The sequence below is a fragment of the Homo sapiens genome, chromosome 8 (genome assembly GCF_000001405.40).
Source record: "Homo sapiens chromosome 8, GRCh38.p14 Primary Assembly".
Classification (NCBI taxonomy): domain Eukaryota; kingdom Metazoa; phylum Chordata; class Mammalia; order Primates; family Hominidae; genus Homo; species Homo sapiens.
This window is the reverse complement of record NC_000008.11, coordinates 130,326,581-130,342,422: the sequence shown is the minus strand read 5'-3', so window position 1 is coordinate 130,342,422 and position 15,842 is coordinate 130,326,581. Positions and strand designations below refer to the sequence as shown.

Here is a 15,842-nt window from a genome sequence, read left to right as displayed (position 1 = left end):
GGGTTTCATGCTGAGTACTTTACCCACGGTATTTTACAGAAGGCCTCTGTTACTGGATGTTCTGAGGAGAAAATCTGGAAAGTAAACAATATTAACTTCATTTTACAGATGAGAAAACTGAGGGAAGGAGTGACTTGACGAGGATGTGCAGTCAGGGGAAGCTGGAGTTTGTGTCTCTGAGGTCTGTGGTCTTACATGATGAGTGCCACCCTTGCCAATTTGCCTTCTTCATCCTCCTCACCCCCTAAGACTTCTTGATTGCCCTTGGGGTCTCAGGACATTCTCTTTTCCACCTCACCGTGAATGCCCTGGCTCAGGACCGACACTTTCCTTTCCAAAGTCTGCTTTCAGCTAACTCTTGGAAGGAAATCTCTCCCATGTTTCACTCAAAGGTATAAATGCCTGATGAGGCATTACAGCAACTTATGCTGAAGTTAGTTTTAGGTGTTGGGCATGGAGATCCTGTCACACCTTACAGGGTAGCTGGCTGTCTCTTCCCATCTCTCGGTCCAGTGAACCCTTAGAAAACAATGCCAAGAGTCTCCTAGTTTGACTCTCGTTTCTTGCTGCTCTTTTACCTCTTATTTGTTAATAAATAATTATATAAATAAATGCTTTTCCTGTTTCTCTTTTTGGTGCCAGGACTTCCCTAAAGCCTGTTCGTGAACCATTGGTGACTGAACCTTGGTCACTTGGTACGTGTCCTTCACTGGGCTGGGCAGTCAAGTTGAAGACACGGAATTATTTAATCTTTGCACCAGCCTCATCAGGTGATGCTCTGGTTCCCATTTTATAGATTGTGGAAACAGAGACTACTTAAGAGGTGCCAGGCTGTTGACACATATTTTATCCTTTGATCCTCATAACAAATCTGTAATGTTAGTAATATTTTAATTTTCAAGTAAGGGTCCTGAGGCTTGGCAGTCAGCAGTTTTCTGTCCCAGGTTTTACTGCCGAAGGGAAAGAACCGAGGTTTATACAAAGATCTGTCTGACCCTCAAGTCTCCAAGTCTCTGCCATTAACTGCTCTGCTTGCAGTTCTTACCCAAGATCCCACAACTGATGCTTGGTTAAGTCAACTCAAGCGCTTAGACACTGTGGGTGCTTCATGGAGCTTACTGAAAACAAAGTGAGTCATGGATAGGAGTTTGACATTGTAACACTTGAGCCATACATCCATTTTTGAGAACAGGGTGGCCTTCCTGGCGCCCTGCACCCATCCAGGCAAGCTGTGGGTGGTAGGTGTGTTTCACTCTGGAGCAGTCAGTTGGAAGTTTTGTGTCGACTTTACCTTCTGCTGTAATGCATCTTGTCACTAGACTTAGTGACTTAATTTGATCTGTAAGCACCCTCACAGCCACGTGGTGTTACTGTATCACATTTAATGTCGGTTAAAAAACACTCTAAAAAACCACCCCTCCACCACTGCCCCCCAGCGACAAAACAAAAACAAAAACAAAAACAAAAACAAAAAAAAACCTAGTATTTTATTCCCTTGAAGACTTTGGAAAGATTTTGTCATTCATCGCAATGATTGGTCAGCCTCAAGAAGCATGCAGGAGCCATCATAAGAGTCACAAGGTATTAAGCTTCCTCTTTGGAGCCTGGTAGTGTGCTAAGTTCTTTATGTAAATTTTATCCTTAAAATAGCTTTGCAGAGTTTCTCCATTTCACAGGAAGTGAATGAATGCTTAGAGAAGATCAATAAATGCCCAAATTGCACAACTGTTATATGGTGGAGCTAAGTTTCAAACCAAGTTTCTTAACTGTTCCATGTCACACTGCTTTCTTAGACGTTATAGCCTTTTTAAAAAGGAGATGTGGAATGAACATTTTTAAATTCAAAGTTTAAGTATACACACACATTTTATGCATTGGGTACAAGAGTATAAATGCCATGAATACTTACTAATCAGATATTTAATATCTGCTTCTGCCCTTTCTCCTAGAAAAGTGATAGTATGAAGGGAGACAGAGTGATTTGTTCCACACCCAACATAAATTATTGCCCAGGGTGAGTTAATTTGTGTTTATTTCTGAAGTGGCAGTGGTTGCTTCCTGAGGGTCTAACCTTGTTTGACTGTTTTGTAGGCTAAATTTCTGCAGGCCTTCTGCAGAGCCCTGTCTTCTTCCTCTCAGAGACAACCCAGGTGTTTTTCATTCCCTAGAAAGTTCCCCTTTGCCTTGTAGACACCTTTTTCACACAGATGTGTGGGATCCTTGGTAAACAGTGACTTATTTGGGGTTATTTCTCCAGCCAGTCCTTTCAGCCTTTTCTTCACGTAGAACCCACTGTGCCGAAATGTTGGTTTTAAGCCTATTGCATTATTGTTTTGAGGACAGGACTTATTTATTCATCTGTTTATCTCCAAAGCCTGCGACCCAGTAGAATGAACCCCATTTGAATGAACAAATGTACACACACGGAAGCCTTGAAGAATTTAGGCAAGGTGAGCCTGGCTCTGTGTATGGTGGAAGTGAGGATAAGGAGAGTCCAGAAGAAGTACTGTCTGTAGGACTGACCAAGAGGGAAAGGGGAGGAATTTCAGGACTTGCAGGATTTCAAGGGAAATAGTGTAATCTTAGAGTTTTAGAGCCAGAAGGAGCCTTAGAAATCATGGAGGTCAACCATCTCATTTTCCACATCATTGAGATTTCTCATCAGTCCTGAGTTTACAGCCACTGCCAACTGACCTTCAGGGCACAGAACCAGACATACCTCTTTAAGTTAGTGCTTTTATTGGTTAAAACACTTCCTGATTATAGCATTGTGTTTTATGTTTTAAGTAATTGATTTTTTTGTGTTTGAGCCCTAAGATGATTTTGTCAGGAAGGAAGCTATTTTTAAACATCTACAAACCAAGCAGATAGAGCACTGCCTTCAAGTGGAGGAGACTTACCCCATGTTGAATCTTGTGATAGCTCCTTCTTTTTGCTGACTTCCGACTCTACTTGCTATTAATATATTCCCCTCCCTGACCGCATCGATGTACTCAAGGATACTTGTAAATTTGCTGATTCTTAAAATTTTCTCTCCATAAAGTCCTAAACTGTTTGTTCACCTCTTCCACAGCATGGTCTTTAAACAGGTGTGAAAGTTTCCAGCGTCTTAAATTTGTTCTTACCGAGAATTTTTCTTTACGTTATTTTACCTTGAGATATTGGTGAAGAAACGATAGCCCAGATAAGTCACCTTGCTTGAAACTTTAGAGAGGGTGGGTGGCTACTGGTTAAGTGTTGAGTCCAGGTGAGATGATTCGTGTCTATGGCTTTTGCCATGACAAAGACCTTTTAAAGTCTCTCCAATGAAGAGTCGCTGTATCTGTATTTAAGTTTCCTTAGGATTCCTTGAGCTTGAGGGTTCATTCCCCCTCTCTCCTCAGGTGCTGTCTTCCTGACTGCTGCACTTCTTAGGTGGGGAATAAGCTGCTCATTAGTGCCCAGGTGCTTTTGTTACTCTGCCCCCATCTTGTGATTTTGATTGTCTGCCCAGCAGCCCAATTCTGGACCAACCAGTGTGCAGAAAGAGCCCAGCAACTGCTGCTCTGGGGGAAATGCCCAGGAAACAGTCCTCAGAAGGATTGTGATCCACTGAAGCAACAAGGCAGCCAGAGCAGCAGTAGGAAGTCAGAATTTCTGCTGGCTCTCTGTGTGGAGCATTGGTGTGGCAGGGGAGATGGGATTGTCCTCAGCATTCAGCTGAGGAAACCAGGCCCACAGATGTCATGTAGTTTGAAGGTGATGGAACCGGAGCCACTGTTAGCCCAGTGTGTACATTTTCCAGCACACCCCATTGCCTGCTGTTAATAAAAGAAATGGAAAAAATTCCACACAGATGCATGACTAGCTAGAGTCATTAAAGATACTGCAGAGTGTTTGCTGGGATGACTGTGGGCAGTAAAGCTATTGGGGAGTAGTCAGGATAATGTTCTTTTCTTGGAAGGAGAGTCCTGTCTTTATTTACCTGACACGTATCTTCTGTTGTTGCTGGCTGTTCTTTGTTGAATACTTCCCCTATGCAGAATACTTTAATTGTAGCAGCTAATTTTTATTGAGTATTTGCTGTATGTCAGGTAGTTAACTACATCCACTGATGTAAACCTCATGACCACCATTTAGGTAGGTACTGTTAAGCCTGCTGCTGCCACTTAACTGTGCAGTTTTGGGCAAGTTACTTTACTTCTCTGTTACTTAGGCATCTGCTGCCAGCATCACCTATAAATATATACCTTTTTCTGAACTGTAATATTTGTATTGTACTATTGCATGGGTCTGTTGTGAGGGTGAGGTGAACGAATGCATGTAAAGCATCACAGGCTCCTTAGGTCGTCTTATCCCCCAGTGCCCAAATATGTGATCTAGGGCAAGCCACTTCACCACTCTGAGCCTGTTCTTCCTCTGTAAAATGAGTGTAATATGTATTTCAACGATTGTTGTGAAGCAAAAATGAAGTAATGGATTAGGCATCTTACACTCCACATTGGTATGTAGTAAATGCACAATAGAAATAGTTGCTATAATTGCCATCCCCATGGGGAACTGGCTGTCACTATTTTATATGTAGGTTCGATTTTAGGATCAAGGGAGTTTGCTACCAAGTCTGGCCATTGCCTCTTCTCTGTTCTGACTTAAGAGAATGTTTTGGTGGATGGGTGAGATTTCAAGTTGAGAGGAGAGGAAAGTAAAAGACTTATAAAAATGGAAAGAAATGCATGAAAACAGATGTATTACAGAAGGTCTTTGAGAAGTTGTGGATGAGGTTTGGCTAGCCTTTAGTACTTCAATTTTCATGGGAAGGAGAGAAACCTCTTCCTTCACCCCCATCTATACATAACCAACTTTTATTTCCTGATAGGATTATGTAACAATTTTTTTCTGTTAATTATCATGGACATGTTAGGATTTGATTATTTGGAGAGGACTAGCATGCTTAATTAGCGTTCAGAATTTACAGTTTATAACAGGGCTCTCTTTGCAGTGTACTCATTTTTGTTACACTGGAGACTTCTAAAAAAGCAAAAAGTTGCCTTGATTATCAATGAGGAATCAAATGCAGGTGGTTGGTGGTACAGGAAATCAACCCAATTACTGATTAATATGAGTGATAGAGTGATTTTCCTATGATCTTATTTGAAGCATGCACCACTCAATTGGAGTTAAGATGATAGTTACAAGTAAGCAGATCCTAAATCAAACTTAAATGTAATTTAACATGGAAAACATGAACATCTTTTAAAATATTTTTGAATTAATCTCACCCTTTTACCAACCTGTGGCATTATTTTCTTGCTGTTGATGCCCAAGCCTTTCCTTATTTCCTCATACAAACTCTGATGTGAGTCCTGACTGGGTTAGCTATTTGTGATTGTCCCTATTGTAAAGATATGTAAAGTATGGTCTGGGGTTCCCTGTGGGAAGTCCCAGGATCCTTCCAGGGGTTCTGAGAGATCAAAACTATTTTTATACTAAGGTCAAGACATTTTTTGCCCTTTTCTCTCTTATTCTTTCATAAATTTATAGTTTATGAGACTGGAGCTGTTTGGGAGAAGTAGTTTCTTGAAATGTTCTCTGGTGGTTTCATTGGGAGTTTAGTATCTTTTTAGCTTTTCTGCTAGGTCTGACATCTATCTGGCTTACCGTCTTTTAGAGACAATGCAAATAGGTACTTTTTTGTCACTGTTCGGTGACTTATGTCAAAATGAAGACTGTCAAAAAGTATTTTTCCCCCTGGTTGGCTTTACCATGCTCCTCTCAGATTGTAAGAGTATGGCATCTTTTCTGAATCTCTTTGATGCATCACATGATAGATGCCGACACCATTCATCCTGCCTTAGTCTTTATTTCTTTTACCCATGTAAAGTGCCTAATACCAAAACTGGTACATAGTAGACATTCATCACATATTAGTTCCTTTGGTTTATTGCCTTGTCTTTATCCAGCTTGCTTTGAATGTGTTTCTCAAACTTCAATGTGCATACAAATCACCTGGAGAGCTTATTATGTGCTGATTCTAATTTGGTAGGTTTGGGGTAGGACCCAATAATCTGCATTTCTTTTCAATTCTCAGGTGATGCCACTGCTGCTGGTTCACTGACCACACTAGGAATAGCAAGGATGATTGATGTATATATAACCTTAAACATGCTCCCGCACACATGCCCTTTTGTAACTTTGCCTTCTTCTCCCCCACTGTGATTATTAAGTTCGAAGCAGGAATCATTGCCTTGAGTTGATTGATCACTGAATTTATTCAGCAAACATTTATCTTGGGTGATATGATTGTTTTCACAGGGCTGTTTCTGAAACTTTGTTTTGCATTATCTTAATCCCAGGTGTCTATCTCTGGTAGGCTGATGAGACAGAGTTTGGAGTTGAGTAGTCTTCATTGCATGCAGCCTGGTCTTATTCTGGGGCTCTCTTTTCCTGTCTCACTTGGAAATTTCATTTCCCAGTAATCATACTTCATAACCATTAAGTTGCTTGGAGTTCACACTTTTTTCTTTTAGTGTCCTGAAACTTATTTTTGACTGACTCAGAAGTACTATAAGAGAAATAAGTTTCCATATCATTTTTATTAACCTCTTGTTTAGATTCAAGCCTACAGAGTAGCTACTCCTGTTGTGTTCACAGGATTTTCTCCTGAGCTACATTTTCTTAACCTCAGACTATCTCTCCCTGACCAAAGAGCCCAGTAGTCCTTAGTGGGGTGGTGTGGGAGACACAGCCTCAGCAGGGCTGCTGTACTCTTGATCAACTGTTGAAAGGGAAAGTCAGGCCCAGAATCTGCCTCCCAACTCTTTTTTTCCATCTCTTTTTCCACTAGGGTGGTTGTATGCTCTTTAGGCACTGTTGATTTCTGGCTTTGAATCATGATCTCTTCATATTTCAGTATGCATGAATAATAGGACAATTTCATGCATTCATTTTGCTATTTCTGAGTAGAAGTTAGTGTGACCAACCAAGTTTTAATCTGATGGACCTGCATCTGAATCCTGGCTATGTTGCTCACTATTTGTCAGTTTACTACACCTCTCTGTGGGTCAGTTTCTCCAAGCCTTGGTTTCTCCTCTGTAAAATAGGGGTCATAAAGTGACCTTATTGAATGACAGTGAGGATTACATGAAGCAATCTATTTAAATGCTTGGCTGAGGGTCTGTTGCATGATCGGCATCCAATTAATGGTCATCCTCATGGTGATAAAGATGATCAGTGTCATCAAATGAAAATGAAAGGGAATACAGCCTGAGATAATAGTCTGGGGAAGTAAGTGCTTGTGGTAGGGAAGGAAGTAATAGGCAAAAAGTATGCTTTAGCTCTCTGGATCCCAGTCTGAACTCTGAAGGGAGGAGAGAATAAATCAGTGATCGTTAATCCGTCTCATACCCAGTGACAGAGCAGTGTGGCCAGAGAGAATTTGGGGAAGAAGAACAGGAAGCACAGGAAGGCAATGAAGACAAGGAGGGATGCTTGATATTCTGAAAGGAGGGTTGGAGGTCTGATATGTATTTGGATAATCTAAAGGGAGGGTTTATTTATGACAAAGGTACTTTGTTAGTGGGATGATGATTTTTAGTCACATTGCTGTTTTGTATTATTAAATGGAGAGCTGTTGGTATTTGAGAGAGATGCCCAGTTTTTCCAGAGTCTGAAAAGAGATTTTTGTTGATGTTGTAGTATAAAAAGTACTCTGTGACATGGCACATGGCTGCCAAAAGTGTGAAAGAAACAGGAAATCACTACACACTTGAAATATAATAGACCTTTTCATTCATCTTGTGTTTTTTTCCCTCTGAATTGTTAAATAAAAGTATATTCTGTTACATGCTACAGCTAGAAGCAAGCTTTAAGCTATCAGAATGGTTGTGAAGAACTGTAGAATAATATGAAGATAACTGTATTTGTTTCATGGCATAAAGTTCTTTTCAAATTTGGTTACTCATCCTGTGGTTTAAAAGTTAAAAAGAGACCATATATATTGTCTCTGAACTCTAGCTGAATCTATGTGAAACACAAGTAGAACTTTTGGGAGGCTGTGAGGTTTGTAGAAGACTTTAATAGAAATGAATGAAGAGCTGGCATTTTGTAATAATATTTCATCATGTGCTTTTCTTTTTCCGTTACCCAAGGAACATATTTGATGTGCTTGATATTTTTGTTGTTGTTGTTACCTGAAAATCAAAGAGTACCTCTTTATATGTGTGCCTCAGCAACTTTTTGTGGTTTATAGGATAATGTCCACTCTCCTTAACAGCTGCACCTAGAGTCCTCTGCCTTCTGCTGCTGCCAGAAGGAGCAGAAGCAAACTGGAAGCCTCTTGCATTTTCACGTCTCCTTGCCTCCTCCTGTACCAGATGAACACCTACTCATCTTTCTGGACTGAGCTCAGATGTCACCTTCTGAAGAGACCCTTCCTAACTACTGCTTTTCCCTGTTCCCCAGTCCCCATTAGAAGTTGGCAGCCCAGTCCTTGCAGCTCCAGCTGCTCTGTGCACACTGTGGCCCAACACCCATGAGGCTTCACGGGGTTCCCTGATGGCTGTGAGTCTCTTCTGTAATCTCAGCTTCTGGGGGATAGGCATGGTGTTCCATTCTGCATGCTGCTTGTCACATAATAGGCCCTCCAGAAATACTACTGAATGAATAAATGCATCTAATAGTCTGATAATTTTATCTGTATGATTGGCGAAAATATTAATCTTCTGGTGTTGTGACTTGTATATGAACCTTTCTGTTTCATGATGGCAATATGCCCTGCCATACTTTAAAAAAATTGTTACAGCCATGCCGTTTGTTTTTTGTTTTGTTTTGTTTTGTTTTTGAGACGGAGTTTCACTCTGGTTGGCCAGGCTGGAGTGCAATGGCACGATCTTGGCTCACCACAACCTCCGCCTCCTAGGTTCAAGCTACTCTCCAGCCTCAGCCTCCCAAGTAGCTGGGATTACAGGCATGTGCCAGCATGCCTGGCTAATTTTTTTATATTTTTAGTAGAGACAGGGTTTCACCATGTTGGTCAGGCTGGTCCCGAACTCCTGACCTCAGGTGATCCATCCACCTCGGCCTCCCAAAGTGCTGGGATGACAGGCGTGAGCCACCGCGCCCAGCCAGCCATGCCTTTTTACTATAGAAATAAAGATGAAAAATCTCAAGTAATCCCATCAACTAAAGATGATTAGAGTTAAAACATGTTGGTTTATAATTCTTTATAAAATAGCCTTTTAAATCCAACTGATTTGGACTAGGGTTGGGGGTGCTTAGGAAATAAGGAGTAGATAATAAGGTAGTATGGAGTAGATATATAATTGTAATTCCCCCTTGAGTTTTGAGAGCTACTTACCCAAAATAGAGCATGACACGGTTTCGCCTCCAAACAGAATTTCCATATGAAAGATTGAACCGCTTTGTGCTTGAATCACTGTGAATGTTGCTGCTGCTAGTTCTTTCTGTAATGTGAATAGAATTTCCTTAGATAAGTTGTCAGTGTATTATTTTCCCTTTAAAAAAAAAAACTTCTTTTTTAGCTGTTATAGATTTCTTAGATTTTTATATAGAAATATTTTCTAAAATTTTTTTTACAAAAATAAAATGAAAATTGTGCCTGTTGTGCTGCATGTGCTTTCAAGTTAGAATCAGTCATTGACATATTAATGGCTTCTTCCAGGTTGGAAAATTAATAAAGATTATCCTTTTACTTGAAGAAAGTGATAAGAGAAGTAGAAAGAAAATCAGGCTGAGATTAACTAAGGAAGCAGCCTTTTTATTCTACTTTCAGCCATTCAGAAGAGGGAAAAAATCCAGAGTTTCTAATAAGAAAACGAAAAGTTGTTTTGCATTCTGGAATATTTCCAAAAGCATTGCTATTGATGTTGAATTCCACTTTGGGGTTGGAGATTAGGAAATTTTTGGAAGTGTTGAAGTAAAATTAGATGTTCTTTGTATTATTTTTTATTTGACAGTGTACAAATAATGAAACTGTAAACTAAAGTACAATGACATAATCACAGAAATGATCATAAAAATGGTTATTTAACTTGAAGTGGGATTGAATATTCAAAAAGTGCAGGTGGTGTGGATGGGCTTCTGGGTGAAATTAGGTTTTCTCTTTCAGCAGGAAAAAAGACAGAGTTTTCATTATACTCCCTGCCATTGGTGATATGGTGTAGACCTGTAATGATAACAAGCACTCAACATCTTCATTGAAAAGCACCAGAAAGATGCAGAGCAGAAGCTGTAAACTTCACAAGTGCCATCAAATCAGACTGTTTCTTCAAAGTTGAATGGAAAATTTCAGATGTTGGTCATGAAATGTTTACTCTGTGACCCAAAACCAAGTTAACAGGCCTCCAAGAGAGGTGCTTGCTCTTGGATTTGAAATAGTAGCCATAGTGATAACTTCTCTTCTCTGTGTAAGCCCTGTAATTTTGTGTATTCCATCATTCTCTCTGGATTTAGTGGTTCTGAGAAAGCAAACCTAGACCTTGGGCCGAGACTTCACACAGAAATATTTGGGGATCTGCTCTATGGTTCTCTGGGTTTGGGCCTCAGTTTCCCCATTTTTCAGCTTTTGTGGATTCTGATCATTCTCCCCACTTGATGTGCATTGTGTGTTTGCATGTGTGTGTGTATGTGTTTCTAGATATGTCTGTGAATTTTGGGGTGTATTTTTTAAATGCTTTGCTTGTATTTTTAATGTTGCTAATAAAATACTAGCTACATGATTTTGAGGGCTTGGCACCTCTTGACTAGGTAACAGTACTGTGCTAAACTCTTTACATGTTTATCTAATACTTTTCTCATGATAACCTGATGTGGGTGGACGTCCTATTTTTTTACAAATGAGAAAAGGCTCTAAAATTAAGTAACTTCCTCCACTATAATAAGGAAGGCAGGAAGTAAGGCTGGATTTCATGCCTGCCAGATTCCATAGTCTGTGGACTAAGCAACTGTGTGACTTGCTTTACTTAACATTCTGGGCCCGTTTTCTTCAGCTGATGCCCAGGGAAGTGAAGTAAACTGACCAAGTTGACACAGTTAGTAAGGAATGCTCAGAGCCAGTGTTCCTTTCTCTCTCCAGACTGCTTCCATGGAATTCTTGCTCTGGGCTTGGCAGTTCCATCATGGTTCAGAAGGATGGATCTAAGAGCAAGATGACATTGTGATGTCAACTAACCTTCCAGAGAATGGTCTAAGGGGTAATAGGGCCCTACTCGCTCTTTCCACTCGAAATAGCCATGCCCCCTTTCCTTAACTTTGGAGCCCACAACACTTAAGATTAGCTGACATTTAATATGTGTGCCTGCTAGGTTCCAGGCTCTTTTTATATCCTATCTATTCTTTATGTCCATCTGCTTGGGAAGTAATCTTATTCCCTTTTTGCAGCTGGGGGAACTGAGCATTGGAAAGGCTGGTCTGGCCAATGGACAGCTAAGGTCTTTCTGATGCCAAAGCCCATTTTTGGTACACCATATCATCTGCTACTGAGAAAAAAAGGCTAGAAGTGGAAGGAGGTTTGTTTGTACTTTCAGGAGCATCCCAGAGAATCGTAGAATTGGGTTCAGTATATTCTTCATGGCTTCACCTAAAATTTTCAGCTCGGGGCATTTTTATAGGTTTAAGAATGATTATATGTAAAAACAGGCAAAATTTCCAGAAGGCAACAAAAGATAAATGATAGAACCCTGTCTTCTGTCCCTTTCCCCATAGAGATACCTACACACATTTAAACTGGGAAAGGAAACAATGATCCATCGTAAAGCTTACCCGTAAGACAAATTGCCTTTGGCAATATAAACCTTAAATGCTCATGAAGGCCTCACATGAGTTAAGTACAGTTTAACATGATTCTGCCATTTGAGCACCTACTATGTGCCTGGTTTTTGGTAGATGACTGAGGGAAGGGTAACAGAATGAATTAGACATGCTTTCTGTCCCAAAGGTGTTCACAGGTGAATGGGGTGGTGGTTGTGGGGTGCCAGGTTAGCTGCAATATAGCATAGACCGGTCAGAGCTGTGATAATTCAGATTGCTCTGAGAGCACACATGAGGTCATGACAGGTTCCAACTGGAGAAATCTTACAGGGTCCTTTCGGACCTGGACCTGAGGAATAGATGGGTAGAACATTTCAGGCAGAGGACACCTTTTGAGCAAAGACCCAGGGTGAGAAAATGCAAAGTGGAATGGAGACTCCCATTAGATGGGTAGTACGGTTTCATGCTTACTCAGTTTGGTTTGATGAAGCAATCTCTCTCTCTGTCTTTGTGGGTTTGTGTACAGTACATGTGTGTCTTTCTCTGTTAAATGCCTTTTATGTTTTGTTGGGGACGTGTGTGGGAGTGATTCATTTCCAGCTGGGTCCAGCTGTAATGAAAATGTCCTGTTTGACAAATTGAGGAATTAGATTACAACTGTCTCTCCCTGAAAGCTGTGACACTAGCTGTAACATCAAACATCCCTCCCTTTGTGGGGCAGGACAGGAGGGAAATGGTGATTCAGGGCTGCTGGATGTGTTGACTAGAAAATTATTTGAGTAAATAAGACTGTGTTGCTCCAGTTAATTGATAAACATGGCTTCTCACTGAGCCATGTGGTTTTCCTCCAAGGAGAACTTAGAATGGTGCCATCTGAGGCTGCCCTAGTAGAGAAGTGCAACACGTCATAAGTGGTCAAAACATTTTTATTGGAAGTAATGCATCTGTGTGATTTTCTGTTTAGTCCCTATTTCAGAGCTCTTTGTTTTTTCTTAAAATGTAAAATACTCTCAACTTTAGCTTGAGAATACCTGAAGTGTTTAGTTGGACATTTATTATGAGCCAGTAACATATTTGCACAGGAGCTCTGGAGGAGAGCAGTATCACTTGTGGAACTCTGAGCGAGTTGTATAGCCACCCACCCATGCCACTTTCTACGTCTGTAGGACTATAGATTTGGACCAGCTGACCTCCAAGATCCTCTTAATAGCTCTTGGGAAATGGAATGAATAAATCCAAGATCCTGGATCTTTGCTCTACCCTTTGGCAATACTTAGGATGTAGCAACTGTGCAAGTTCTCACAGTCTTAAATGAAAAGAGCCAAGCCAAAGCTGAAGCTTTGTTGTATCTTCATCAAGGGAGGTTCCCACCCAATGTCTGTTCCACAACTGGATGCCATGTTTTGAGAGGAGCAACAGAGACCAGGATGGAAACAGAACTGGAAAACTTATTTAGTTAAGTGGCTTAGTGAACCGCTGTGTCACTCAGAGATGAGGCAGCAGCAGTGGTTGAGGGTTAAGGCTGGATTTTGAACAGTTGGAGGGCTCTCATACCCTAAGTGTTAAATCCAGTGTGAGGAAGAGCCACCCACCATCTGGTCAGGAGTAAAATGAAGTGCCTCTGGGGAACAAAGGCTTCAGTGGAACCATTCCAGCAGATATCATATTCTGACCATTAGAAATTTGATTAAGGGAAGTGTTACCCTATATTTCCTGCTAGTCTAAGAGGTCTGACTTTTAACAACCATAAAAATCTATACAGACCCATGTCTGTAATCCCAACACTTTGGGAGGCTGAGGTAGGAGGCTTGCTTGAGGCCAGAAGTTTGAGACCAACCTGAGCGACATAGGGAGACCACCATCTCTACAAAAAATAAAAAAATAAAAATTAATTGAGCATGGTGGCATGTGCCTGTACTCCTAGCTACTCGGGAGGCTGTGAGGTGGGAGGATTGCTTGAGCCCAGGAGTTCAAGGCTGCAGTGAGCTATGATCACACCACTGTACTCCAGTGCACTCCAACCTGTGTGACAGAGGAGACCTTGTCTCTTAAAAAAAAAAAAAAAAGAACTACTGAGCCATAACTAATTAATTGGGTTTTTACAGCTTTTTGTCTTAAAACTGCCCACATCTCTCATGAAAATAATATGGTGCAGTATTGTGTGGCCAAGGTGTTGTGTTTGTGTGGAGGGCCTACCACAGGGGGCAGATGATCAGAACTTACTTCTACTCAGCAAAATTTAATTACTTTATTTTTCCTCCCTCATCCTGAAATTAATACAGGTTTATTGTAACAAAAGTAGTATAAAGGTTGTCACCTGCACTTTCACTGCTTTTAAGACTATTGACTACTGTATTATTTGTCACAGTGGTTAAGAGCATAGTCTTTGGTCTCTTGGCCCTGGTTTTGAAACTCTGTTGTGGCACTACATACTAATTATGTGAACTTGCTCAAGCCTTTTTTTTTGTCCACCAGTCGTGGTCATTTCCTCATTTAGTACCAGTTTCACAGAATTGTTATGATGATAGGCGAGAAATGCATGTAGAATACTTACGACACTGGCCACCAGAGTTCAAGTGCTCAGTAAATGTTAGACAGCTGCAGTAGTGGTGCTAGAAGTAGAAGATAATAAAACTCAGTGTGTATATATATATTTTTCTTTTGCAAAAGTGGGATCCTGTTAAATCACCTGTCTTAAAAACTGCCATTTCCTTTTATATTGAGCATTTCTCCATGTCATTAGTCTACCAAACCATCATTTAAAAAATAGCTTTATTGGTGCTTAATTCACGTAGCATACTTCATCCATTTGAAGTATACAATGCAGTGTTTTTTAACTATATTCAGAGTTGCACAGTCAATTTTAGAACATTTTTATCATGCAAAAGGAAGTCCTGTAACTGTCAGAGTCACTCCTCATTTTCCTCCAAATCCTTTACTAAGCTACTTTCTGTTTCTGTGGATTTGCTTATTCTGGACATTTCCAAGCCATGCTTTTTAATGGCTGCACAATATTCTGTTATGTGGATATACCTTACTTTAGCAGCTATTCCACTGCTGTTGGAAATTTAATTTATTTTCATGATTATAGGAAATATTTATATTAATCTTCTTTACCCGTCTCAGTAGAGTCACCTGAGAGTCTTAATGAAGATTCTTCCATGTTACTTAATTAAGAAGTAACATAAAATCTTCACCTGTGGTCTTACATGCCTGTGCTGTGAGATGTTCCTGAAGAGCTTCAGGCTCCTAGAGCTGCTATCACACCATAACAAGGTCCCTAACACTGGAGCCAAGCTTTGGTAACACCCTACACTGAGGTCCAGTTGGAGCTGTTCAGGGAATAACAGCAGCAGCTTGCCCAACAATTTTGGTACAACAGTTTGGTGGGAGAGGATGAGTGACTTATTTGAGCGGAGCCATTGGAAGACAGACAGGGCCATAGTATCACCAGCTGTTCACATAGTGCCACAACACTCAAATCCAAGGACAACTCTTAGAGGAACTGGAGTGCAGGGAGAATTATTCATTACATCTGCTCAGAAAGATAGAGTGCCCTACCAACACCTTTGCAAATTGAAATTCCCTTGCTCTTGGCATGTGATCATCCTGCCAACTCTGTGAAAGCTCCCTTAGCTACTCAGATGCTGCCTCCTGGGGGCATTCATCCAGTTATTCATATCTAAATCATGGTGCTCTGATGTGGACTGACCTGGGGAGGGGAAGGAATAACCACAGTGGGTCTGGTGTGCCAGAATCTGAAAGGCTAAATTAAGATGACTTGCGAAATAAAGGGATCCTGAAGAAATAGGCCACTGATTGTCTCTGAATATATTCTATAAGGTCATTTTCAGTTCTCAGGGCTGGGAAACACAATGTGGAGAGAAGCATTAAATTAATGCTTTGCTTTTAAATGTTGGGATTCTCATAGAAGAATCCATTTCTGCTCATTTGCTGTCTGGCTGTCTTAATGCATTCAAAGTGTAGAACCCTTGAACATTTACATTTATTTGTTGTTGCTGGTGTTTTCTCTACTCTTTGTTGGCCTCCGGATGGACACCCTGTTAATATTCTTTGACTAGCGTGGAGCGAGCTGT

The 15,842-nt window shown here is 40.7% G+C and overlaps 1 protein-coding gene across 22 annotated transcripts in view, besides 3 other annotated features; it reads left to right on the top strand.

Annotated features, from left to right (window-relative positions):
- The window catches only part of ASAP1 (ArfGAP with SH3 domain, ankyrin repeat and PH domain 1), a 391,571-nt gene that overhangs the window by 101,252 nt on the left and 274,477 nt on the right, over positions 1–15,842 (top strand). The window lies entirely within an intron of this gene.
- Positions 8,494–9,073: an enhancer, noted in NCBI's record as "H3K27ac-H3K4me1 hESC enhancer chr8:131345596-131346175 (GRCh37/hg19 assembly coordinates)". NCBI's record gives its function as "activates a minimal SCP1, AML or CMV promoter by ChIP-STARR-seq in naive H9 embryonic stem cells {active_cell/tissue: H9 hESC(naive)}" and the evidence as "EXISTENCE:reporter gene assay evidence [ECO:0000049][PMID:30033119]".
- Positions 12,275–12,324: a silencer, noted in NCBI's record as "silent region_19546". NCBI's record gives its function as "represses an Ori minimal core promoter by ATAC-STARR-seq in GM12878 lymphoblastoid cells {active_cell/tissue: GM12878}" and the evidence as "EXISTENCE:reporter gene assay evidence [ECO:0000049][PMID:35858748]".
- Positions 14,080–14,359: an enhancer, noted in NCBI's record as "active region_27986". NCBI's record gives its function as "activates an Ori minimal core promoter by ATAC-STARR-seq in GM12878 lymphoblastoid cells {active_cell/tissue: GM12878}" and the evidence as "EXISTENCE:reporter gene assay evidence [ECO:0000049][PMID:35858748]".